This window comes from Homo sapiens, chromosome 1, assembly GCF_000001405.40.
Source record: "Homo sapiens chromosome 1, GRCh38.p14 Primary Assembly".
NCBI classification, from domain to species: Eukaryota; Metazoa; Chordata; class Mammalia; order Primates; family Hominidae; genus Homo; species Homo sapiens.
This window is the reverse complement of record NC_000001.11, coordinates 233082824-233108629: the sequence shown is the minus strand read 5'-3', so window position 1 is coordinate 233108629 and position 25806 is coordinate 233082824. Positions and strand designations below refer to the sequence as shown.

The window sequence follows — 25806 nt, the reverse complement described above, 5'->3', positions numbered from 1 at the left end:
GAAGGGCCCGGCTGAGCCGTGTGCTCCTGTGCATGTCTGCCTTTTCTCCCTTCAGGTCTGCGCCACATCAGACATGTTCTTAGGGTGCTCACCAGTCTTTTCTGTGAACACCCTGTAGAATTCTGAGAGAAGGAGCCGGCAATTTCTATGGCTCCCTAAGGCTTTACACTGTCCCACCAGCCCACACATAGCTGTGTTCACCAACTCATCGATTCCACTGGCCAAAATCTTCCCACCAGCTTTGGTTGCATCTGCCCCAGGTGAGTGAGTGCTTATTGTCTCTTTTCTCCCTGAAGGTATCTTTCTCTCCTCAGATTTTGGACTAGGTGTGGTACAGGAAAGGATTCCCAATCCAGACCCCAAAAGAGGGTTCTTGGATCTCGCACAAGAAAGAATTTAGGGTGAGTCTGCAGTAGAAAGTGAAAGCAAGTTTATTAAGGAAGTGAAGGAATAAAAGAATGGATCCTCCACAGACAACGCAGCCCAGAAGGCTGCTGGTGGCCCATTTCTATGGTTATTTCTTGAGTATATGCTAAACAAGGGGTGGAATATTCATGTCTCCCCTTTTTAGACCATATAGGGTAACTTCCTGACGTTGCCATGGCATTTGTAAACTGTCACGGCGCTGGTGGGAGTGTAGCAGTGAGGACTACAGAGGTCACGCTCATCGCCATCTTGGTTTTGGTGGGTTTTGGCCAGCTTCTTTACCTCAACCTGTTTTATCAGCAAGGTCTTTATGACCTGTAATTTGTGCCAACTTCCTCTCTCATCCTGTGACTTAGGATGCCTTAAGTGTCTGGGAATGCAGCCCAGTAGGTTTCAGCCTCATTTTACTCAGCTCCTATTCAACATGCAGTTGTTCTGGTTTACGTGCCTCTGAGAGCTGTCTGCTCTACAACTCAGTTCTGTAATGAGATTTTTAGAAAAGTCATGTATTTAAAGTTTGTGGGTTTTTTTTTTTTCATTGTAAGTGTGGAAGAAACATGCTTTACAGCTTTGTATATCCCAGAGAAGAAACCAGAAGCCTTCTGAAGTATTTTAATTTTACATGAAATTTGGATAAATTTGGTATATTAGAGGTTTTTGTTGGCAAATGTCAAAAATACAACTCAAAATTGAAACTATATTGCTTCACATAGCTGGAATGTCCCAGTGTGGATCATGATTGAGACATAGCCTTACCCAGGATAAATAATGTTAGCAGGGCTCTTTTTGTTTGTTTGTTTGTTTGTTTGTTTTTTCGAGTCAGGATCTCACTGTGTCACCCAGGCTGGAATGGAGTGGCTTGATCACAGCTCACTGCAGCCTGGATCTCCAGGGCTCAAGTGATTCCTCCTCAGTCTTCTGAGTAGCTGGGACTACAAACTGCACCCAACCTTGTTAATTCAAGTTACATAAAAAGGCTGTGCATGGTTTTGTGTGTGTGTGTGTGTGTGTGTGTGTATAATACATGTTCAAGTGCAGAAAATGCAGGAAGGATAACTCCTCAAATAGTCATTAACTGTGATTGGTACTGGAAGTTAGGTCAGAGTAAAGCAGATAACAGAAACTTTCACTGTACACTTTGTGTAACTCTGTACTTTTTTTTTAAGTTAACTCGTATTATTATATTTTGTTTTAAAGAGCATAAAGCATAAATGTGGAAAGTTTCAGTGTTTACAAGAGAAAGCTTCAGTTATATGGAAAAATCACTACCTGAACCATCTTATTCCTATATGTACTAGATTGATGAAATGTTATTACAAATAGAAAAATCTCAGGACAATGTGTAAGTTAGATATCCAGAGAGGTATGCAGAAGATTAGAGGGACAGGAGGGCATTACAAAAAGTTGCCTTATAGTTCATACATTAACATTGTTTATCTTGCTGAAATACCATGTGGGTAAAAGCAAGCAGCATGCATCCTGATAGGAGGTGAATGAACTTGGCTGTCATACCCATTTCCCAAGGGCAGGATTCGCTACACACAAGATTATAAGACCTTTAAGAGGGAGGAAGCCTGTAATCCCTGCACTTTGGGAGGCTGAGGCGGGCGGATCACGAGGTAAGGAGATCGAGACCGTCCTGACTAACACGGTGAAACCCCGTCTCTACTAAAAACACAAAAAGTTAGCCAGGTGTGGTGGCACGTGCCTGCAGTCACAGCTACTCGAGAGGCTGAGGCAGGAGAATCGCTTGAACGTGGGAGGCAGAGGTTGCAGCGAGCCAAGATTGCATCACTGCATTCCAGACTGGGCAACACAGCGAGATTCCATCTCAAAAAAAAAAAAAAAAAAAAAAAGAGGGAGGAGAGGAAGCCCCCAACAGAATCCAGGAAGCTGCTTCTTCTCCACAAGGAAGAGAGAGCTAAATAGAATACAACTCAAAGATGGAGAAGCTGTTTCATATATGGAATAGTTAGAGGAAGGCTAACATGGAATTAAAGATGCAGGAAACTGTAAAGGAAGACAGAGTGTGTGCATAAACTGTGTTGTTTCTACCACTTCACTCCAAGGTGAAATGAGCAGGATACTTAGAGAACAAAAGCATCTCTCCCTCGTCAGTCACTGTCATTATCTCCTGTTTCTTCTTTATTGAAGTCCACCCTTGCTTCCTTCCTCAATGGCCCACCTCCCCATACATCCTTAAGCTAAAGCTCCAGACCCCAACACATGCAGAAACACACAGACCCAGGATTACATTTAGATCCTAATTCTCAGGAGTCCAGAGGAGACCTTTGAGTTTTGTGCATTCCTACATCTTGGTAGATTATACAATTTCAATGTGCAATGTCGACTTCATTTGTGTTTATGGATACACTAATTAGCAGTCATGAAATATGACCTTAAAATAATATTTTCTGTCTAGTGTGTTCTCTTAAGGGTCTGAATGTGTCTGGCTGCATAAGGTCAGCTAATCAAAGAATCAGGGCTTGTTGCGTTTCCTTTATTAACGCCACATTTACTTGCCTAAGTAGCCTACTCCTGCTGGATACTATCATCCCTGCATTGTTTCTGTTTTTCTTTTTAGTTAAAATCTCCCAAACTGTACTTCACAGGTGATAAACTATTACCCCATGTTCCTTTCTCTCTCCTTATATTTTAGTCTCCCTTAGTAATTTTCTTTTCACTCTTCTGTTTTAGGTTAATCAGATTCATCTTGTTTAATGCCTCTTGTCTGAATAATCCTGAAATTCTATTGCTAAATACAGTGTTTATTGCAACATAGCTCTGGTATCCTCTATGAGGTTTAAAAAGAACTCTTTTATTACTAGTTTGTAAGGGATGTTTATGAATGGGTGTTGAATTTATTTTTCAACGTCCTTTCTGCACCAATTGAGCAACATACAGTTTTTCTTTTTTACTTTCTCAATTTTGTGAATTACATTAACATCTTTTCCTAATACTATATCATTATGAAGTGGACCAGATTTGATGATGATGTGTTTTTATACATTTATAGATTCATTTTGTAAATAGTTCATTCAGAGTTTTTTCATTTATATTCATAGATAAGAATATATTTTCTTTCTCATAATATCCTTGTTGAATTTTTACATTAGGAAATAGCCTGCCAATATGGACTGTGAAGTTTTTCTAAGATGCACATTTTAAGGCAATATCTTCTCCTCTACAGATTGCTTTACCTGGGTTCTAAAAGTTCTAGTTGGTACTACTGCTTTTCATTGTCATTCATTTTAAAATATGTTCTAATTTTCATTATAATTTATTCTTAACTGTTATTTCCATTGTTTTTATTACATGCAAATCCAAAGGATTGTGATTATTACAATTGTTATTTTGCCAACTTTTTATTATTGACTTCTAATTTAATTGTAAAACTGTGCATGATATTAATTTTTGGCATGGATCAGACTACTTTTGTACTTTAGTAAGGCATCAATTGTTTTAAATGTACCTATGTTTGAAAATTATATTCTTTCTCTTTTGGTTGGTGTAAGGTTCTAATATACATATCTCTTAGATGAAGCTTGTTAATTCTGTCGGTCAAATATTTCATATGCTTATTTATTGTCTAATTGAACTATCATTTTCTGAGCTAGGTATCTTAAAAGCTTCCCCTATGATTATAGATTTATTAATCTTTCCTTGTAATTCTACCTATTTTTACTTCAGATATTTTTGAGACTACATGGCTAAGTGTATACATTTCAATTATTTTATCTTCCTGGTGACACTCTCCTTTCATCATTATGTACTGCTATGTATTCTATTTTGAGTAAAAGCCTCAATATTTTGCTTACTATTAAAAGAGGTAAGGAAACTTTATTTTGGTAAAAATGTATTGATTTTTTAAAAATTATTTTGCCTAAAATTTTTAGGTGACTTTAATATTTCTTCTAAATCTAACAAGATTTTTATTTTTAAGGCAGACCGAGAGTCTGTATTTTGATAGGCAAATTTTATCTGTTTACATTTACTGAGATTACTGATATGTTTGGACTTTTTTCTACCATGGTATTTTTTGTTGGCTTTATGTTCATGATGCTTTTTCTTTGTCTCTCCACCTTTTCTTTCTTACCATCTATTGAACAAAATGAAATTTTTTGGTCCTTTTTTTCCTCTAGTACTTTGAAAATTGAATACTGTGTTTCTAGCCCTTTAGTGCAATGATTTGCAATATGTGGTCCCCAGACTGGCAGCATCAGCATCACCTGGCTTTTATCCAAAAGTCAGATGATAACAAATGCTGGTGAGGATGTGGAGAAATGAGAACCCTCTTGCATTATTGGTGGGAATGTTAATTAGTAAACCACTATAGAGAACAGTTTGGAAGTTCCTCAAAAAACTAAAAATAGAGTTTCCATATGATCCAGCAATCCCACTGCTGGCTGTATGCCCCCAAAGAAGGGAAATCAGTATATTGAAGAGATATCTGCACTCCTATGTTTGTTGCAGCACTATTCACAATAGCCAAGATTTGGAAGCAACTGAGGTGTCCATCAATAGGTAAATGGATTTTTTAAAATGTGGTACTTATACACAATGGAGTACTATTCAGCCATAAAAAAGAATTCTATCATTTGCAACAACATGGATGGAACTGGAGGTCATTATGTTAAGTAAAAAAAGCTGGGCACAGAAAGATAAACATTATATATTCTCATCTATTTGTGGGATGTACAAATCAAAACAATTGAACTCTTAGAGATAGAGAATAGAAGGATGGTTACCAGAGGCTGGGTTGGGGGTATTAAGGGCACATTGGGAGGAGGTGGTGATGGTTAATGGGTATAAAAAAAATAGAAAAAGTGAATAATACCTTGTGTTTGATAACATAACAAGGAGACTGTAGTCAATAATAAATTAATTGTACATTTGAAAGGAACTAAAAGAATATAACTGGATTATTTATAACACAAAGGATAAATGCTTGAGGGAATAGATACCCAATTTTCCATGATGTGATTATTACGTATTGCATGCCTATACCAAAATATCTCATGTATCCCATAAATATATACACCTACCATGCACTCACAAAAGTTAAAAACTTAAAAACATTATAAATGATGCTGGAAAAACTGGATATGTATATTCAGAGGGATGAAACATCTAGTTTCATCCTATCTCTCACCATACACAAAACTCAAATCAAAGTAGATTAAAGACTTAAATAATATAAGACCTGAAACTATGAAACAATACTAGAAGAAAACACTGGGGAAATGCTTCAGGACCTTGGACTGGGCAAAGATTTATTGAGTAAGGCCTCAAAAGCACAGACAACCGAGGCCAAAATTGAGAAATGGGATTATATCAAGCTAAAAAGCTTCTGCACAGCAAAGGAAAGAATAAACAAAGTGAAGAGACAACCCCACAAAATGGGAGAGAAATATTTACAAAATATTCAACTCACAAGGGATTAATAACGACAATATATTAGGAACTCAAACAACTAAATAGCAAAAAAAATTAATAACAATTTAGAAATGGGCAAAAGTTCTGAATAGACATTTCTCAAAAGAAGACATACAAATGGGCAACAAGTATATGAAAAAGTGCTCTACATCACTAATCATCAGAGAAGTGAAACTCAAAACCACAATCAGCTATCATCTCACCCCAGTTAAAATGGCTGTTATCAGAATGTTACAAAGGCTAGCAAGTAAGGGAAGCACTTATACCCTGTTGGCGGGAAAGTGAATGAATACAGTCACTATGGAAAACAGTATGCAGGGTCCTCAAAAAGCTAAAACTAGAACTGAAATGTCATCTGGCAATCCCAAGGCTGGCTATCTATCCAAAAGAAAAGAAATCGCCATATTAAAAAGATATCTGTGCCCCCATGTTTATGATAGCACTATTCACAACAGCCAAAATATGGAATCAACCTCAGTCCCCATCAGCAGATGAATGGATAAAGAAACCGTGTATATATACACAATGGAATTTATTCAACCATAAAACAAATAAAATCCTGTCAATTTGCAACAACATGATTGGAACTGGAGGACATTATGTTAAGTGAGATAAACCAGGCACAGAAAGACAAATGTTGTATGTTGTCACTCATGGGAGCCAAAAAAAAAAAAAAAAAAGAAAAATGAATCTCATGCATTTACTCCTGTGAGGAAGTTTTATCATCCTCCACTACTTTTTATGTTAGTTTCTTGTTTTTAAATTTTCACCTTACTGGAACAGTTTAAATTTAAATCCCACTGCCCTGTATTATGAGGACTTGAGGTTTTGGTTTATCATGGATGACAGATTTTTATCTACTCTACAGCAGGCAGAAGGCAAACTCTTTTTGCTTTTTTCCAGCACTGGTAAATGAAGTTTTTTATAATTTGCTCTTTATGGACATGGAACCTATTCAAATATGCTAAAACCCAATTCCTCAGCTCCTAAGACCTATATCCATGTCTGTGTTCCCTTTGGGTTGGCATGGTGTCAGTTCAGACTTAACCATTCTTATTTCAAATTACCTCTTTGCTTCTGACTGTTACAGGGGCTGGGGGAGTGCCCCCTTTTTTGAGTTAACTATTAATTTATTTTTTTCTTACAACTTTTTTGATTATATTATTTTTATCATGGATGGTATCCCTTATGCATTACCATGCTCCATGAAGCCTATCAATATTTTGCAAAGTCTGATGGATGCTATTTAATGGGCTCCCAACACACATTGTCTACTGAGGTAGAATCTGCTTCTGGCCTGAGAGTCACTCTTGTAATGAGTTATAACCATTGTCTGAAGATGTTTTTTACTTTACAAAATTCTATCTCATATTGTCAGCTACTATTTGGAAATATTTAATATCCCCAAATTGAATGATCATATTTTCTGTTAACAACTTGTTATTCTGGAAGAGTGGTGCTTCCCCTCCCCCAGAAATGGTGGCCTACATTTGAGATGTCACTAGCTTTACTTTTTCTATTCCTTCTTGAACATTTTTCTTTTCCCCATATCACCACCTATGCCTCAAAACATCTGATGGTTTTCCACAATTCCTTTGTTTCCGGCTTTTAATCCCTCAGCTGGGCTCCCTCCTCAATTCATTAACGTGGTTCCCTGTGAACCTCCAAATTTCTTCTCATCTTGTCTGCTCCTTTCCAAGCACTCAAGAGCCTCAGCTTCTTCCTGTTCTCTCACTTTGAACTGCATGCATCTTTAACTCAGCAGCCAGTTTCTGCGATGCCATTCAGCCTTGTATACCCCGTTAAGTTCAAATATTGGTAATTCCAAATTTGGGGTGAAATTAACTGAAGCTGAGAAAGAACTAACTGAATACAACAAAATGCAAAAAATGGCAAATGATAGAATGAATCTGGGAGATTAGTAAGGATGGAGAAATAGGCGAAAAGGTGATGAGTGGGATTTGGAGAGAAAATTGCACTTTAATCAAATGGATGTATAGCTTCCTAAGACAATGCCCAAATATAAGAAAATTCTGTAAGTAGCCAGTTATTTCATTGAGGGAAAGACAGTGTGTGTGGGAGGGGTGTCTCCAGACTGAAGATAGCATATGCCTTATTGCAAGTGTATTAGCAAAGAAAAGTTTTGGGGTCACCTTTATTTGGAGACATTTCTCTCAAGCTGGTTTGTGTATTTACTATCTATAGCAGAGATATAACAGCATGTCTAGGTCTAATTGAAAAGATATTTCCAAAATAGGTCATTTGAAATGAGAGTATTTATGGTGACTTTCCTTGGGAAACAGCCATAATTACTCCATTGTGATTTTCTTTTTTTTTTTTTTTTTTTTTTGAGACAGAATCTCTCTCTGTCACCCAGGCTGGAGTGCAGTGGCACGATCTCAGCTCACTGAAACTTCTGCTTCCCAGGTTCAAGTGATTCTTCTGCCTCAGCCTCCTGAGTAGCTGGGATGGGATTATAGGTGCGAGCCACCACGCTCGGCTAATTTTTGTATTTTTAGTAGAGATGGGGTTTCACCACATTGGCCAGGCTGTTCTGGAACTCCTGACCTCTGGTGATCTGCCTGCCATGGCCTCCCAAAGTGCTGGGATTACAGGCGTGAGCCCCCGCGCCCGGCCCTCATTGTGATTTTCTTTACTCTTTTCCTAGTGTTTTAAGTGGAAAAAAACCCAAATGATTTTGTTTTCTCTTATATTCCAGTAACTTGTAAAGTTTATTATGCATTTTCATAGCGCTGAGATTTAAGATCTTGGAAGTAGAATGTTAGGAGTGAGATAAGCTTCATAAAAACAAAGACCTCAAACTGTCTAAGGAGATGCAAGTTCATAGCTAATCTAAATGAGATTTCTATTTAAAGTACTTCAATACAATATTATAGTGCTTGCGGCCCTGCTTACTGGAAAGGTGTTGGTGTGGCTGTTTCCATTAAGTCTTATCTTAAATGTTTCATTATTTTATACACAATGGCCAGTGTGGTGCAGGAGGTCCCTCTTCATATACTTTTCTCATTGATGATCAATATTTAGGTTTTCTTTTGTGCTTAGAAATTGCTGTTTTGATACACACTCATTTTAAATTATTTTACCTGATTTTACCCTTAAAGAGAAGGGGAAAGTGTAAAGGGAAAATATGAAGTTGAGTCTTTTTAAACCTGGATCATGTCTCTCCACACTGTAAGAATAAAATACATGAGCCAAATCAATCTTTTTGGAGTTGTACATTCGAGAAGCACAAGTAAGCCAGCAGTCGGCCGTTTTGAGATCCCTCGAGTGTCATCAGGCTTTTTGGGTAGTATCATATTTTATTAATTAGGCTTTTTTTACTGAAAAGGATGTTTCAGGGCAGATCAGGTCCTTTTTTACTGTGTACCTGAAAGAACGTGGCTGCAGCCATAATTTTTCTGAATCATGGCTGCTGCTATAGTGTGTGATGTTCATGCTTGTGATCCTGCCCCTCTGCTGTCAGCAGGAAATCTTGGATAAAGGGGACCTTTCTGTAGCTGCTGCATGTCAGGCAGGTTCTTCCTATTGCTGTAGTTCACAGAAGGCCCATGGCCTCAAGGAGGCATGGTAAAGTTGGGTGAAAGAAATATCACTGGGTGGAGAATCAGGAACTTTGATCTCTGGTTTCAGATGGGCCAGTAACTTGCTGTCTGACCTAAGCAATCCACTTAATCTCTCTGAGCCTGGTTTCCTTCTCTGAAAAATGAGAGGACCTGGACTTGGTAAGTTTCAGTTTTGGGAAGAAGAGGGCTCTAAAATTACTAGGTTGTGAATAAGATATCCACTTGTCCTAACATTTATCAAACTCTTTTGTAACATTTATGTTTGCCAGGCACTGTTCTAAGCTTTTAACAAAGATGAAGCCATTTTATCCTCAGATGACACTTTGAGGGGGTAATATTATCATCGCCATTTTATAGATCCAGAAATATATGACCAGAGGTAGAGGTGGGATTCAAACTCAGGCAGCGTGCCCTTAAGCTGATGCTTTTAAATATTGGCATGTGTTAGCATCTGACTCATCTAGAACACATCCTTTTTCTGGTGGGCTTCATAGAGGAGCATTAAAATTACTGTGTTGTAGAGGAATCATTACTACATAAAGAAATGACATTCAGGAGATCTGGCTTCTTCAATGATTGAGAACAGTGGAGTCTATTTTATGAGCTTCATGTTGAAAGGCTTTACAAAGCATGTATTTTATTCTTCACAAAGTTCATGAAAAAAAAAAGAAGGCATAGAGAGTCATAGGAAAAGAACAAGGATACCTGGGGCTTTGGCTGCAATTAGAGCAGGAGAGTGCTTATATCTGGAATCCTTAGATGTCTGATTACTGGTTTTTCTTATGTGTAAATACAAGTTGCTGTGCTAAGCAGAAAATAATTGTAATGGATTCATTTAATCATAACGCAGCAAAGTTTAACTTGTTAGAGCTTCCAACTTGCAGATGAAGCTTTCCCTGGGGCAGCCAGTCTGATTATAGTTGCTGTAGCTGACCTACTTATCAGCTTTTTCAAAAGGTGGCTTAAATGCCTCCCAGGATACAGGAATACACAGAAAGCCTAACAGGAGTAACTTTCCATAACTCATGATTCATTTTTTAGGGCATTTGGGGGCAATACATCATATGAGGTAATCTTGTTCATGCTTGCAGTTTTCACCTAGACATGAGTCACAAGATTAATTCTTAATAACTCAACTAAGAATTCTTAATAGGGGGGTGACTAGAAGATTTCAAATCCAGAGGTATTTTTTCTGATAGAGTTTGATTAGGTACACATGTGCAGGAGAGCCCACCACCACTTTTCAAGACTTTTGCCCTGGTTGGTAACCCAGAAGTCATGTCTTCTCTTGGGCACTTGATGTGTTCCCCTTCTAGTTGGGTTAATGGTGGAGATAAAAGGAAATGATATTCACTTTTAATGCAAATCGTGTCTCTTCACAGAAGTGAGTCAAGAGTTTGAAGTTGTGTTAGAACTATCCGTTTCTTGATCTGTAGGAGTCACCTAATGACTGGTAAAAAGTAAGATGGTAGGGAAATGACTATATTTTATGTAAACTTGTAAGACTGGACCTCAGGTTGACAGAGTGACGGGTTGTTCTTTCAACTGACATACTCTCAAAGGCACTGGGGGCTGTGGAGTCCCATCTAAAATGGATTCAGGAGGCTGAAATCAACTCCAGGATTAAAACAAAAGTGGCCTTTCTGAAAGATCTTGGAAACCAATCGAGATCAATCCTCTATGGTTGATGCAAGTGAGTAAGAGTAAAGAAAGTGAAAAGTTATGAGCAAAAAACAAACTCCTCTTTTCCTTTCCTGGAATTGATATTTCCTTATAGCTCCCCAAGCCTGATCACATCATCTAGTTTTCCTGTCATTTTTCATTTCTTTGCTTTTTTTTTTTAATCCTCCCTTTATCTTCCCTGTTTCCCCTATTTTTTTCTTTCCCTCTCACTGTCTGCCACACTCCCTATCATTCTTCCATTCTCTTCTATCTAAAATTCTTCAGCTTTCACCTAAAACTCAGTGCTAGGTTTGTAACTAGAGGCTCTGGTAGACATGTTTTTAGGTCAGGGGTTCTATGCATAACCAGATGCCTGTGACTTCTTAAGGATTCTCTCTGTTTGCTGTGCCTTTGAGAGACCTTTTATTCTTGGTTCATATACTATGGCCTACCCAATAATGTTTTATTCTACTTTAAAGTTTTTCTCCTAAACCAGAATATTTATGAGAATCAGTAGAGACCAGAAAAGTGAGGCAGAGATTTGGAGAGGATTCTAATTAACCTCCTTTTGCCTCATTACATTTCATGGAACAAATCAGGGTCACCTCATCTTTGGGTTCCAAAATCACCAGGTTGGCTTTTCATGGAAGGGCTCAGTTATCTTGGTTCCTTGAATACTTTCTTAATGGCCCCATTGCCCAACCCTTGCCCTGTTTTCATTGTGACCTTCTGTTTTATATAATGGCTATTGAGCCTAATTAAAAATTATATTTTTTCTTCTCATTTCACATCATGGCCTTGGTGAATGTATTTTATTGTCTCAAATGCTAGTCAGTCTAGGAACAAACATGGCATGCTATTTGAAGTTTTCATTATGGAAGAAGATCAGATGTGGATTTTGGGGAGAGAAATCCTGGTGGGATACTGACTGACCGCATCTAGAAGTGACAGCAGCAGAATTTTGCATCTGGGATTCATTAGTCACTTCTTACCACAATGCAGAGATCTAAAGACAGAGTAGTCCATCCTTCTCTATCCTTCCCTACACAGTCATCATCTCCATCTCCAGTCAAACCACTGAACTGTTCACCGTATGTGAGGTCTCTCTTCTGTATTTTCCATATCTTCCCAAAACTCGATTTTTCCTTGTGCTGGCTTGTCTGGCCAATGCAATAGCTTCATATCCTGTCTTAGCTTTCTAAAGTACTTTGTAACTTGCATTTCAATGATATGGAGCTATTTTCTCCAGTAGGAGCAGCTGAAGAGGTAAAATGAAATTAACACGCAAAAACCTCAACAATGTCAAATGATGATAGGTTTCTGTGTGTACTCCCTCCAAAAGATCCAATATGAAGGAGGAAAGACCAAGGTGTGATTGTTCTTCTGAGAAAGGCAAAGAGATACACCATATATATAGGTTGAAATAATAAATCCGTTGAGATTAACCATGCAAGATTTCTTCTGATCAGCCTATTGCTGTTTCAAAATATCATTAAATGGCTGCATTCCACATGAGATGCAGGAAGATCACAGTAAGAGGGCAGAGAGTAGTTTCACTGCCCCTTCCTAACCTTGACAAATGTCCTTTAAGTGACCTTGATGCAGTTACCACTGTTGTCATTGTCCTCTCTGATGAATTTTTTTTCTTTTACTTTCAGCTCGGGGACCTGCTTCACAAGTTACAGTTCGTCCTGACATATGTGGCTCCTTGGCAGATGGCTTGGGGTTCTTCGTTTCACGTGTTTGCTCAGCTCTTTGCCATTCCTCGTATCCTTTCTGCTTCTATTTTCACCCTCCAGCTGAGATTCACATTTTACGGAAGCAAGCTTTTCATTGACCCCTGGCAATAAAAAGATTTTAAAGTCTATAAGATTACATTTTAATGGGGACATGAAGAGGCACTTTGGATCCCTTTAGGCCACTTAGCCTTAAAAGATATTTCTTTATTTTGAACTCTTCCTGCTTCTTAATGCATATTCAGGAGTTACTTTTATTTTTTCTGGTCCTTCCATTTCCCATGCCCAGATCTGCATTAAGGTACCCTGTCTTTTAAACTGCTTAAATGATTGGGTTGCCTTGTGCAAAATAGTGCAAATAAATTTGCTGTTATTAAGCATTGTGGATAGGTTTAATGCATTCAATACATTTTTATCAAGTGTATATTATTTTATAGTATGGTTATCATATTATACTTCAGTAATATTCAGAAACACAAGATTAGGTACAAACAGCATTGGGAAGACTAAAAAATTAAATTATGGTCTTTTAGTGGCTATTAGCCAAGAAGCCTTGGTTTCCATGTGTGTTTTACAATGTTTACATAATAGTTTTAATTTACTTCATAACAAATTTTGAGATGCTCCTTCTAAACATCACTTTGACATTGATAGCTAAGTTTTATATATGTGCACGCGTGGGTAAGGGGAAGCGGAGAGAGAAATTGCTTTAAAAATACTCTTGAAGAAAGAGATTAATTAAAATTTGACTCAGGCCTAAAATATGTCCTCAAAGGTTTTCCTTCCCAGTGAATTTAGAGTTTTTAAACCTGTGTGTTTCCCAGGAAACAGGGACCACTTGCATCAGAATCCCTGGAGGAACTAATTAACTAAGTAGATTCCTGGACCCAACTCATACTTTTTAAATCAAATTTCACTGGGCGGGATCCTAGAATCTGTCTTTCCACAAGCTTTCTTGGTGATTCTTATGCCATCAGTGTGTGTAAACCACAGTTCTCAACTCTGGCAATCCATCAGGGCTGCTGTTAGCTAACTTGAATGACCACTCAGAACTCTCTTCCATATGAAATTTACATAAGGCTCATTAAGACAATTCTTAAGGAATCTCTATGACCTTAACTTGGTGTACAGGAATGGAAACATACTTAGGATAATCCTTGAGTGATAATATATTTTATATTTTGAAAAATGATTTCTTCCAGGCCCTAACTTTTTTTAAAAAAAATGTTAAGCATACGAAGAGTGGATCTCACAATACACATTGTTCTATGTTGCTATTCTTAGATGTGCATTGATATTTCTAAAGTGTTTCAAGGTCATTTGGCAGAACAAGCTAAGGAAAATTATATACATGTTTGCAAAGCCTGAGCTTGTGCACCACCCTTTCCCTTTAGCTGCAATCATTTTCTATAAAGCCAGTAATTTCAGTTTTCCAGAGTCCTTTAAAACAAAAACAGGTGAAATATTGAGTTGATTTTTAATCTCTTTCTGACGTATTTCTAAAGTTTCCTCTTTAGAATTTAAAGCATGTTTATTAAATGAAAATGATTAGATTAATGCAAATTTGTTGTTGAGGAGTTACACCAAGAATTTAAAACTTGAGGTTATAATTCCTGATGTCATAACTTTGGACTTGCATCTGTCTGTAGCATTTCTTGTTGGTGTTTATGCCTTGTTAGGTGAATTCAATATTACTGATTATTCCTTGGAGTTCCACGACTGAATTAAGACTGTTGTGGGAACCATAATTTTCAAATACTTGCCCTATATTCGTGTTGAGGGTTCACACATGAGCACATGGTATTTGGCACTTAATAAGTCCTATAAGAATAAAGACAGCGTTAGGATTTATCTCAGCTTGTGCACAGTGAGCATTAAATTTACATACTTTCATGATATACAGACTAATTGTCTTACAACATGGAAACATTCGAGATGCAGATTTTATTGGGCATTTGGTGGTTCCATTTTACAGCACTCAGTGGATCCCCTTGTTTTGTTCCTAAGCCTGGCCCTGTTAGTGACACCCACTTCCACCCCTTCTGCTAAGATACAGAGCCTTCAAATTGACCTCCCTGGAGGCTGGAGGCTGGCCACTGACAGGATCTTTACCCTCTCCCCCGTACCCATGGACGGCCCCCTCATCCTTCATCAGTTGTAAAGGTAGATATTTGTTCCTTGGAGTCCAACATCATGCTGTTCAGAATATAATGAGATCAATAGTTGAAAAACTAGATATACATGCCACCCAGACAAAGCTATTAAGTTATTAAGTGTCAGCCCTGGATCTTGGCTTATTGTGAAATGTTAATTATTTTATCACTCTATTAAGAAGCTGTGGGCTCCATCTCAGCATTGAAAAGGGACTAATTTGCTCTGTTTTGGAATTGAATTAGCTTTCAGGCCAGCAGGGCACTGTTTGGTAAATTGCTTTTTCCAGTACTAGCATGTTTTCTCCCTCCATAGCCTCTGTTAGCTTCTGAGCTTGTAACCTCCAGGGAAAGATGAGAATATTCACCCTTTTAATATGTGTAGAGACCATGCAAGACCATTGTCTTCTAATAATTAGAAATACTTAGCCAGATTCTCTATAGTAAACCCGGAGATTGGGAGGGCTGCTTTCTACTTGGTGCATCCTTCTGCGCTTCTAATGATTTTTAAAAATCTGTTAATAATTGATGTTTTCTGGCTGGGCACAGTGGCTCACGCCTGTAATCCCAGCACTTTGGGAGGCCAAGGAGGGCAGATCATGAGGTCAGGAGATTGAGACCATCCTGGCTAACACGGTGAAACCCCGTCTCTACTAAAAATACAAAAAAATTAGCCGGGCATGGTAGTGGGCGCCTGTGTACCCAGCTACTGGGGAGGCTGAGGCAAGAGAATCGCTTGAACCTGGGAGGCGGAGGTTGCAGTGAGCTGAGATGGTGCCACCGCACTCTAGCCTGGGTGACAGAGCGAGACTTCATTTCAAAAAAAACAAAAACAAAAAACAAACAAAACAAATAATTGATGTTTTCATTTTAAGTGTGCTTTTAAAGGAGTGAGCATCTACCCCTCAGGTTAATCTCTCAGCTATTTCTCTTAGAAAGAAATAAAGAGGGCTTTATGTGCCTGCTCCTCTTAGTAGCTCTTCTTTCTTGGTACTGCCTTGCCAGTAGTAGTGACAGACTTTCATATTTGCCCAGAGTGTGCTATAATTCTTTACTGATCTTCCCCCCAAAAAAGATCCTCTCTATTCACTGCCACCCTCCCTCTAACCTGTTAAACGTCATTTCCTTTCCTACCACATTGAACTTTATTTTTAGACTAGCACAGTTTCCTCACTTCTTAAATTTTGGATAATTGTTTCTGGCATTTAAAAAATGTACAGTGTAATCTCTGGGGAAATTTTAGAATCAAAAACAAGAGCCACATCAGCCCCCCTTTTAATATGTGTAGAGACCATGCAAGACTACTGTCTTCTAAAAATTAGACAGACTTAGCCAGATGATCACATATTAGCACATCTGCCCAGCCCTGGCTCCACTTGGTTTTGTCCTGGTTCCTCTGCAAGCCCCATCACACCCTCTGTCCCCTGATGTGGGGACTTCTCCCTCTTCCATTCTTCTCAACACAGCCCCTCAGAAAACTCCACCTCTGACCTGACTCTGCTTTCTAATATTTTTTTCAATACCTTCACTCAATGATATCTTGCATGCAATTCCCTTTTCTTCCAATGATGAGGAGCATAATAGCTAATTTGTTGTGTTTTGTGGCAGAAGTATTTAGGTATTTTCAGCTTTCAGAAGAGGAAACTGATGGGTGATAATAGATATCACAGTAGCATATTGTTCTGTAGTTCTCTATTTGAACCTAGGTCAAAATAAAAAGAATTGGATTTAAATTGCAGCACAATAGAGATCTTTTTGATACCTAAACAATTCAACATTGGAATGGATTATTAATGGAGGATGTGACATTTTACTCTTGAAAATGCTTGGGAGTAAATAGAAAGTTTTAAAAAAAAAAGTCACTCTTGAAAAAAAAAAAATCATGATTTTTTTTTTTTTTTTTGAGGGAGGGTCTCACTCTGTTGCCCAGGCTGGAGTGCAACAGTGCAATTCTAGCTCACTGCAGCCTCAAACTCCTGGGCTCAAGAGATCCTCTCACCTCCGCCTCCTGTGTGGCTGGGACTGCAGGTGTGCACCACAATGCCTGGCTACGTTTTTTTAATCTGATTTTAAATCTACGAAAATGTATGTGAAAGTGTGGACAGCACAAGACTCACTCCCTTTTTTATATCTTACATATAAATAGGGCTGTTAGGGAATCCCCACTTCCACCCCCACCCCTTTATCACATAATTTGTTTAACGTTATGTTAAACTACTTAGAAGTCCGAGTTACTTCTATATTCTTGATAATGAAATGCAGAGTCTTCCTGTCTGTGCCAAGCATTTCTTTTTTACTCTCTGACAGAACTTTTGCAACATGGGTTACAGAAATAAGATCCTCCTTAGTTCAGCAGTGAGAGAGATACAGCTGTCAACAACTTCCCAGCAGGAAGATCAGCCTTGTAGGAGGTCAGATCAGATCTGTAGTAGAATGATCCAAGTCCTAATACCCTAGGACCAGGAAGGATGTCGATATTATACGACCTGGGCAGTCTGGCTCTCCACTGACTTCTGCCACCCCCATGGATTCTGGCCAGCAGTTCTCTCTTGTGCTTCCAACCACAGGCCCCACAGAACCTCTGCACCACAATGATGGTGAGTGATTGGCAGCTAGGAGTCTTCAGTGATGGAGTGAGACCTGAAGGGACCAGCTTGCTCAGAGAACTGTTGCTTCTGGCTCCTCGCGACTAATCACCAAGGATCCATTGGGCTTAAGCCAAAAGCAACAGACATGCTAAGTTTAATATTGAGCAATTACCTCTTTGATCAAGCAAGGTGTGTGAAATTGATGCATGCCAGTACGTGAGAAACTCATATAAGAATGCCTAAAGAAGCAACTTGGCCCACAAAACACTTACTTCATGTGCATGTGGTGTTTTTTGCTTAAAAACTAGATATGACTTGAATTGAACCAGTGGTGTTCAACATACGATATCTGTTTATCTGTGTATCCATCTACCTAGATAGATAGATGGATAGATATTTCAAACAGTGGGAAAACATTCTTCAAGAAACAGAGATGCTACCTTCCCAAACAGTTATATTATTTATTTTCAAAAAGTATCATCTAATATTAATTATTTACAAAGCTACTTGATACTTTAGCAAATGTACCCTAGTGTGTTTTGTTCAGCTAATAATCTTAGTGAAAAGAAACTGTTCTTTTCAATCCTTAGATATTAAACCTTTGCCATGAATCAGACTAAGACTGCTGAGATTTTTATGAGAATCATTTGGTTTACGTGGTGGTGAAATGAGACCTAGCAGGGTACTACTGAAAGTTTTATATTTATAAATCTATACATAGAGAGATTAAGTGTGTGTTCTTTGTTCTTTCTTTGGTGGAAAAAATGACTTTAGTGAAAACTCATCAAAATTTGAAATAATGTTTTAAAAATCTAAGAATCATAATTTTTTTTTTTGCCTTAACTCAACATTCTCAGATTCTGCCATGCTTTTCTTTCAGACGATTGCCACATCAATCTTTTCTACCCCATTGAGCCCATTTCTTGGGAGTGTCATTTTCATCACATCATATGTCAGGCCAGTGAAATTCTGGGAGAAAAACTACAAGTAAGATCCTAAAATCAGTGCTCAATTGCTTTTCTCCAGTTTGCACTTCAGAAGGCTCCTCTGCCTTCCTCTGTTAGGAGGTCCCTGGCTCCAGGCTTCCCCCTGCTGTGGGGCCAGGCCAAACCTGTCTCTCTTGATGACCTCCTCAGTTCATTGACTCAGCTCTTGGGTCTCAGGGATCTGGAAAGAACATGACTGATTTCAAATTAGCCAACGAATACTAGTCCAGGTTTCACCAGTTGTGAAGGAAAAGTGAGTTATCACTGCCAAATTTTCGTAGGTGACCTAGGGGAAGGTACAAGCCACTGTTAATGTCCTTTGATATGCCAAGATGGCCCCTGGATGGCATACTTTTTTCCTGTCTGTAGCATCCCTTCTGTGAGCATTCTAAATATACAGTCCTGTACAAGTGGGTAGCCATCACAGCTCTATGGAAAAGAGACCACCAACTTTTCTGAGTGCCATAAAACTTGCGGCATAAAAGTGAAGATGATTTCTTCACCTTTTCTTCACTATTTGGACCTGTCATAAATTTCCTTAAGCAATTGGTGATTGATGAAGTAGGAGTGTTATTCTTACGGGAAGGTGAGAAGAGAGAAGTAATGGTTCACCAAATAACCGTAAAGACCTCTTAATGATTTGTGGGGAAGGTCTTGAGAATAGCTAGCAGGGAAGGAAAGCATGTGTACCTGGAGGTCTTCAGCTGGGACAGAGACCTTTGCATTGCTCCATGTGTTGGCTTCAGCTGGGACAGAGACCTTTGCATTGCTCCATGTGTTGGGGCAGGTCTTCCATTTCAATCTCCTCTGCCCTAATTTATTAGCCATACTTGTGCTATTTATTACTTTTAAACCCTAATCCTTTTTTCCGTAATTTGTTTACATTTTGCAGAGTGCCAGCATTTTACAATGTGTCTTTTATGTCTCACAGAGGTCATCATTAAGTTAGACCTTTGGCTTCATGTGTCTCCCGAGAGATGGTTTATAAAATTTGCATCCTTCTGGCACAGGTGGTGTGGCTTAGGGATTAGAACACAGCCTGCCTGAGTTCACACCTCATCTCTCCCACTTAACACTGATAATTTCAGGCCTCCTTTTCCTCATCTGTAAAATGGAAGTAAAATCATAAGACCTACTTCATAGACTTGTGAGGAGAAAATGAATTAACATACATAAAACACGGAGAGCAGGGGCTGCCACAAAGTAAGCACCACGTGGGCCTGAGCTAGGATGATTATTCTCTGACTGCTCCGCAGGGAGGTTCCTGTCCCAGCTTGACCCATGCTAGTAGGTGTTTACCATGACTCGGGGGGATCTCCTTCAGACAATCTCACATTTAGGGGTGCCCTGGTGAAAACTAACCAAATCAGTGAGCCCTACTTCGGGCCCGTGAGGAGTTGAAGGAGGTCCTCAGGTTTCTGGCAGATTTCTTGTCTTCTAAGAGAGGTAGATTTTGCAATAAAAGTAAAGTTGTCTTGAAATTCACACATAACAAGGCTGCTCATTTGCATTTGTCTAAAGAGACATGCATATTTACAGAGCCAGAGAGTAAAAAAAAACTACCACAGTTGGCTTCTCTTTAAGCTTTTTTAGGAGAAAATAATTTGGGGGACCTTTTTGGAGCTCTGAAAGTCATGCTTCTGGAAAGTGCAAATACTTGTAAATAAGAGGAGGGGCATTTTCTCATGCTTTCACCTAAACAGGAAAGGAAAGTACAACATACTTAAAACTTGGTCCTCAGTACAAAAGATTTCTTTTTGCCTCCTATTCTCAGATAGGGAATCCGTCTTTCTGGCATGGGAAGATTCAATAGAAGTAAAACACCTCTCAGTTGAGTCAGAAAGGATTTTAAGTGTCCGCAGTGGAAAGGGGAATCTTTTTGCAGAGATGACATTGGAGGGAGGCATACTAACACCTGCGCAAAAGGAGTTAGGTGTTTTGTTATTTAGTCTCCTCACTTCCAAAATTCAGCCATCTTTGAGTGAGATGTTTGGGTCTGAATTGTCAGTTTATGTGGGTTACTTAAACATACGGACTTCTAGAGCAAGATTTATGTTTATTCAGTCCCACAAAGAAGTGATTCTGCCGCATTTATTCTTTTCATCAGTAAATAACACAGATATTAGCACTAGGTTCCCTGTATGTGTGTGTGGGGTGTCTGCCTCTGGCTGCCCTTCTCATGGGTTGGAAGAGGGCTTCAGGGTCTGTGGGTATGTACAAGGAAACCTGCCCTTTCCTAGGTCTTTCCAAAGGAGCCAAGTGGAAGGAAATTTTCAATTCTGCTGCAGGAGAGAGTTCTTGGTGCAAAACCCAGTCTGCTGAAGGTCTATTGTTGCCTTTTGTGAAGGCATCAGAACGCAGCGTCCTCTGGCCCATCTGCTGAAAAGATCAGTCGAGGGAAATCACAACAGTAGAGTGGTGGGTACCAGGAAAGGAAGTGACAGGAAATCTCATCTGGTCCTTACAAACACTCTGGAAAGCTCATTCTATCTATTTAAAACTTTTTTTTAGTTTCAAATCCTCATTAATGAGTTTTAGTGTTCTGACTGCAGAGTTTCTATGTGGCCGTTCTAATTACCGTCTTTTGAGTCTGATACAAAGGACCAGTCAGTTAACGTCATTTATCCTGTTTAATTTTGTACTAGTTGTTCCATCACTTTAAAAGGGCCGCCTGAAAAGACATTCTCGTCTGGAGCTTTAGTGAGCACATTTACCACCATGAACTGCCGCCACCAGGCTGGGGGTGTGTGTTGGAGGCCACCTAGCAGTCCCCTCTCCTGGCTTCCTCTTTCTTTTCACCTCTGCTCCCTCACTTTCCAGTCCCTTGGTTTTTATTGCAGATCTTTTAAAGCTGACTTTTGTTTGTGCAGGTCTCTAATGAGAGCTGCAGTGTAACAAAACCATTTTAATACTTCAAGGAAGTGATAAATAAATCACCAGTGACCTGATAATCACGGCTAGTCCCTTTTCTCCCTGAACTGGCCGGTCCTGAAACCTGCAGACCTCCTGTTCCCTGATTCTGTGCCTCACTAGGGCATATGACAAATGTGTCCCCTGTCTGCCTTTTTACCCTAGCCTCCTAACTAACCTGCTTGCTACTCTCTGCCCACACATAGCTCTAGGATAGCTGTCCTAAAACACAGCTCTCAGCTTGTCACTCTTCTCCTCAAAAGCCTGCAGTGGCTCATTGTGCCTGAGGAAAACGGAGAAATGCCATGTAGACCAGCACTGTCCAATAGGAAGTTCTGGATAATGGAAATGTTCTATGTCTGTGCTCTCCAATATGGCAGGTACCAGCCACATAGGGCTACCAAGCACTTGAAATGGGGCTAGTCTGATGGAGGAACTGAATTTTATTTTATTTTTATTTTATTATTATTATTATTATTTTGAGATGGAGTCTTGCTCTATTGCCCAGGCTGGAGTGCAGTGGCACGATCTCCACTCACTGCAAGCTCCGCCTCCCAGGTTCACGCCATTCTCCTGCCTCAGCCTCCCGAGTAGCTGGGACTATAGGTGCCCGCCACCACGCCTGACTAATTTTTTTTTCTTTTTTTTTTGTATTTTTAGTAGAGACGGGGTTTCACCGTGTTAGCCAGGATGGTCTCGATCTCCTGACCTTGTGATCCACTCGCCTTGGCCTCCCAAAGTGCTGGGATTACAGGCGTGAGCCACTGCACCCGGCTGGAACTGAATTTTAAATTCCATTTACTTTTAATCCACTTAAATTTAAATAGCCACCTGTGATGGGAGGCTACCATATTGGAAAGCACAGATATAGACCCTTCTTTCTCGAACTTTCTAGCCCATCTCCCACAACACTTTCCCACACATCATATACTGTGAATTTCCATTCCGAACCTCTCCTTGGATCTTACTCTTCATATAGAATGACCTTCCCTCCCTCAACCTCTTCATTTCCTGTCCACACCTAGTTGGCAAAGCCCAACTTAAATGGCAACTCTGCCATGAAGTTGTCCTGATCACCCCAATTAAAAATTATCTTTCCTTTCCTAAATTCCTCTAACAGTTTGCCTTTATGTTCTTGTTGTCTATTACTCAATAACAAATCTCTATAAACCTTAGTTTTTGTCTTAAAACAACAGGAAACAATTTATCATATCTCATGGCTTCTATGGGTCAGGAATTTGGGAAGGGCTGGGCTGAGTGGTTGTGATTTGGAGACCCTTATAAAGGTGGTGACTGGGACTGAAATAGGGAATCGGAACTGCTGGGGACTAACTGGACATCTTTCTCTCTTTTCGTGTAGCCTCAGAACCTCTCTGTGTAATCTCTAGGTGAGTCAGAATTTTGGCTTCCTGAGAGCATGGTGGCCTCAGGGCTTCAGCAAAAGTTTTCTAGTGAGTAAGGTATTAATAAAAGTTACATTGATTTTTCTGGCCTAGCCTCAGAAGTTCTGCAGCATCGATTCTCTCCCATTCTATTTTCTACAAGTAAGTCACTCACCCACCCAGATTCAGAGAAAGGGGAATTATATTCTGCCTCTTGGTAGATATATGGTAAGATTCAAGGGTGGTTTGTAGGATGGAGAGGTACTGTAGCAGTCATGTTTGGAAAAATAAATTTGCTGCTATGGCCATCAGTAAATTCTACCCAAGGTTGGTGTAGTCTATATATACCTTCAATTCTGAACTTGTTTAGTTTTCATTTTTGTATGCCTAATGGGGCCCTGCAAAAAGCAGGTGTTCTGTACTTTTTTTTTTTTTTTTGAGACGGAGTCTCACTCTGTTCCCCAGGCTGGAGTGCAGTGGCACAATCTCAGCTCACTGCAACCTCCACCCCCGAGTTCAAGTGATTCTTCTACCTCAGCCTCCCGAGTAGCTGGGATTACAGAGGCCCGCCACCACACCTGGATAATTTTTGTGTTTTTAGTAGAGATGGGGTTTCACCATGTTGTTCAGGCTAGTCTTGAATTCCTGATCTTGTGATCCGCCCTCCTCAGCCTCCCAAAGTGCTGAGATTACAGGCGTGAGCCACCACGCCTGGCCTGTAAATATTTCTTAAGTGAATTAAGTCTAACAGTATTATGTCAGAGGAAATAGAAATCCTAATCTGGCTTCACGTTTGCTGGGGTGAGAACACTCACTGCTAGACTGAGGTGGTCTTGACTAACAAGGTCTTTAAAAATCTGTCTTGATGAGCTCTGCCTGGTGTCTTTATTTTAATTCCAGGCAACAATAGCAAATGCAGTGTATAATAGTGCTTTGTGTTTATACATCCCCGTAATGTCAGAGCATTTTAGAAAGCTTTAGAAATACATTCTGATATTATGATTTATCATCCTGCTCTTTGTATATAAACAGTCACTAAATAACCAAACTTTGTCATTAACATGAAACAAATGTTTAGGCCAGAAATTACATGATACATGTGCCCAGTTATCTCAGCAAACATCTTTGTTCTAAAGGAGTTGACTATTTTCAGCTTTCTAAAATAATGAAAACTCCCATTAACAGAGATTTTGTTTTGATATGTCAGAAACCCTCTATAAAATGTAAAATACATTAGACCTACAGCGCTAGATGAAAGGGAAATAAAGCTTTCATGATGGTTACATATCTAGAATTCTATCCAGATTGGTTTTAAAATGTTACATTGTTCTGGGTGCTATCCTTTATGGCAAATGTGTATTAAGCATCATCTATGCGAGTGTACTGTGCTAGGCTTTACCTAGCAGGAATCACTCTGTGTGACTGGTCTGCAAAAGTATCAACTCTGCATCTGTATCCTTGGACCTGCCTTTCTCAGCAAGAAATAATTGGTTCTACTTAATCCTCATCTCTTACTGAGGCAGCGGTAGAACATCAGAAAGCACAGGCTTTGTGCTTTGTGGTTGGTCAAACCACAATTAAAATCCCAGCACATACGCTCGGTTAGGTGTTTGGGACGTTACTTTGTCTGTGAGCCTCAGTTAACTCATCTGTAAAATGAGATGATCACTCCTCAGAAGTCATACGCACCAAAAGAGACATGGTTTGCTGTGGTAAATGTGTAAGTCATTTCTATGTACAACATACCTTATCCTTATTCCTGACCCCATTTCATTTTCCTTTCCTAAATTTCTATCTTTTCTTATTCAGCTTTTAATCTAGTTGTAACTAAACATATATTATGTATCCCTGCAATCTACCTGAAGTCCTTTCTGAAACCGCAGAAGGCCATCAAATCAACAGGGGAAATGACACATCATATAGATCGTGTACCATCACATCCATAGCCAGCCTGCTGTGAGGTGCCCTATAAATATTATTTTTCCCTTCAGGCACCGTGTTTATTTTGATACCTGGGCCAGTCACTGAGCTCCAGTTCTGTTCTTCGAGCATCACAGCTGCCTTTATGGAATAATAGGCTCTCTAAGTCCCACGGTTTTATGGTTTATCTAACAACAAAATAAATGATAAAAATATTGTAACTAGTCTTAGTGAGCTCTCGTGAATCTCACTGTGTTGTTTTCCAGCGCCTTGTTGGTTTGTAATATAGACATAAGTATAGCACGGACCCTTAGGAATTACGGTAGCCCCTCTGTGCTCTGGACCATCCAGCCTCTTCTCGCTGCTGGTGGAGCGGATCTTGTGCCTTGCTCGGCAGCCCCTGTGAGTGCTGTTACAGCTGTGAGCTCTTCATTGAGTTGAATCGGCTCCTTGTGATATCACCTGGATACCCCTGCTGACACAGCATCAAGACGCTGAGTCCTACACCTGCTGCTCTTTACCAGTTTGGAGGCAGCTCTCCTTCCTTTGCCACCCTCTTTTTCAGGCCAAATGGTACAAACTGTTCCTTGTGTGAAATGGTCTAGACCTTGGAAATCCTAGTCGGCCTCATCTAGATGTTCAGTGGATTGCCCCTAACCCTCCCCACCTTCACCTTGCTCCAGAGGTCATCTAATTGGTTCTCAGTAGAAGGACCTATTCTGCAAATCAGGTGTCCTGCTATCATTCATGCCTCTTAAAATCTAAAATGTCTCATTATTTTACAAAATATTTGCTGAGCTGACCCTTCTTCATCCTGATCTTATGCGTGAGTGTGGTTTACTGAAAAGAGGAAGTTTACGTTTCCGCTCTCAACTCTCCTCTTACTGGTTTTAACTCAATATTCCAGCCCATAGAGGTCAGTTTCATTCATGTCATCTTTCACGCCTCCAGCCCCCTCAGTTTGGCAGCAGATGGGATTACCTGTCACCATCTGGAGTTTCATTCATGATTTGTATTAACAAATAC

The 25806-nt window shown here is 39.5% G+C and overlaps 1 protein-coding gene across 8 annotated transcripts in view; it reads left to right on the top strand.

Moving 5' to 3' along the window:
• Positions 1–25806, top strand: part of PCNX2 (pecanex 2) — a 343895-nt gene that overhangs the window by 218700 nt on the left and 99389 nt on the right. For 7 of the 8 annotated variants that reach the window (XM_047430870.1, NM_014801.4, XM_047430871.1 and 4 more), the window contains 2 exons: positions 12767–12875; positions 18440–18569. The exons of the other annotated variant lie outside the window; for it this stretch is intronic. In XM_047430870.1, the coding sequence (XP_047286826.1) occupies positions 12767–12875; positions 18440–18569 (239 nt within the window). The remainder of the gene's footprint in view (positions 1–12766; positions 12876–18439; positions 18570–25806) is intronic. 8 annotated transcript variants of the gene reach the window in all.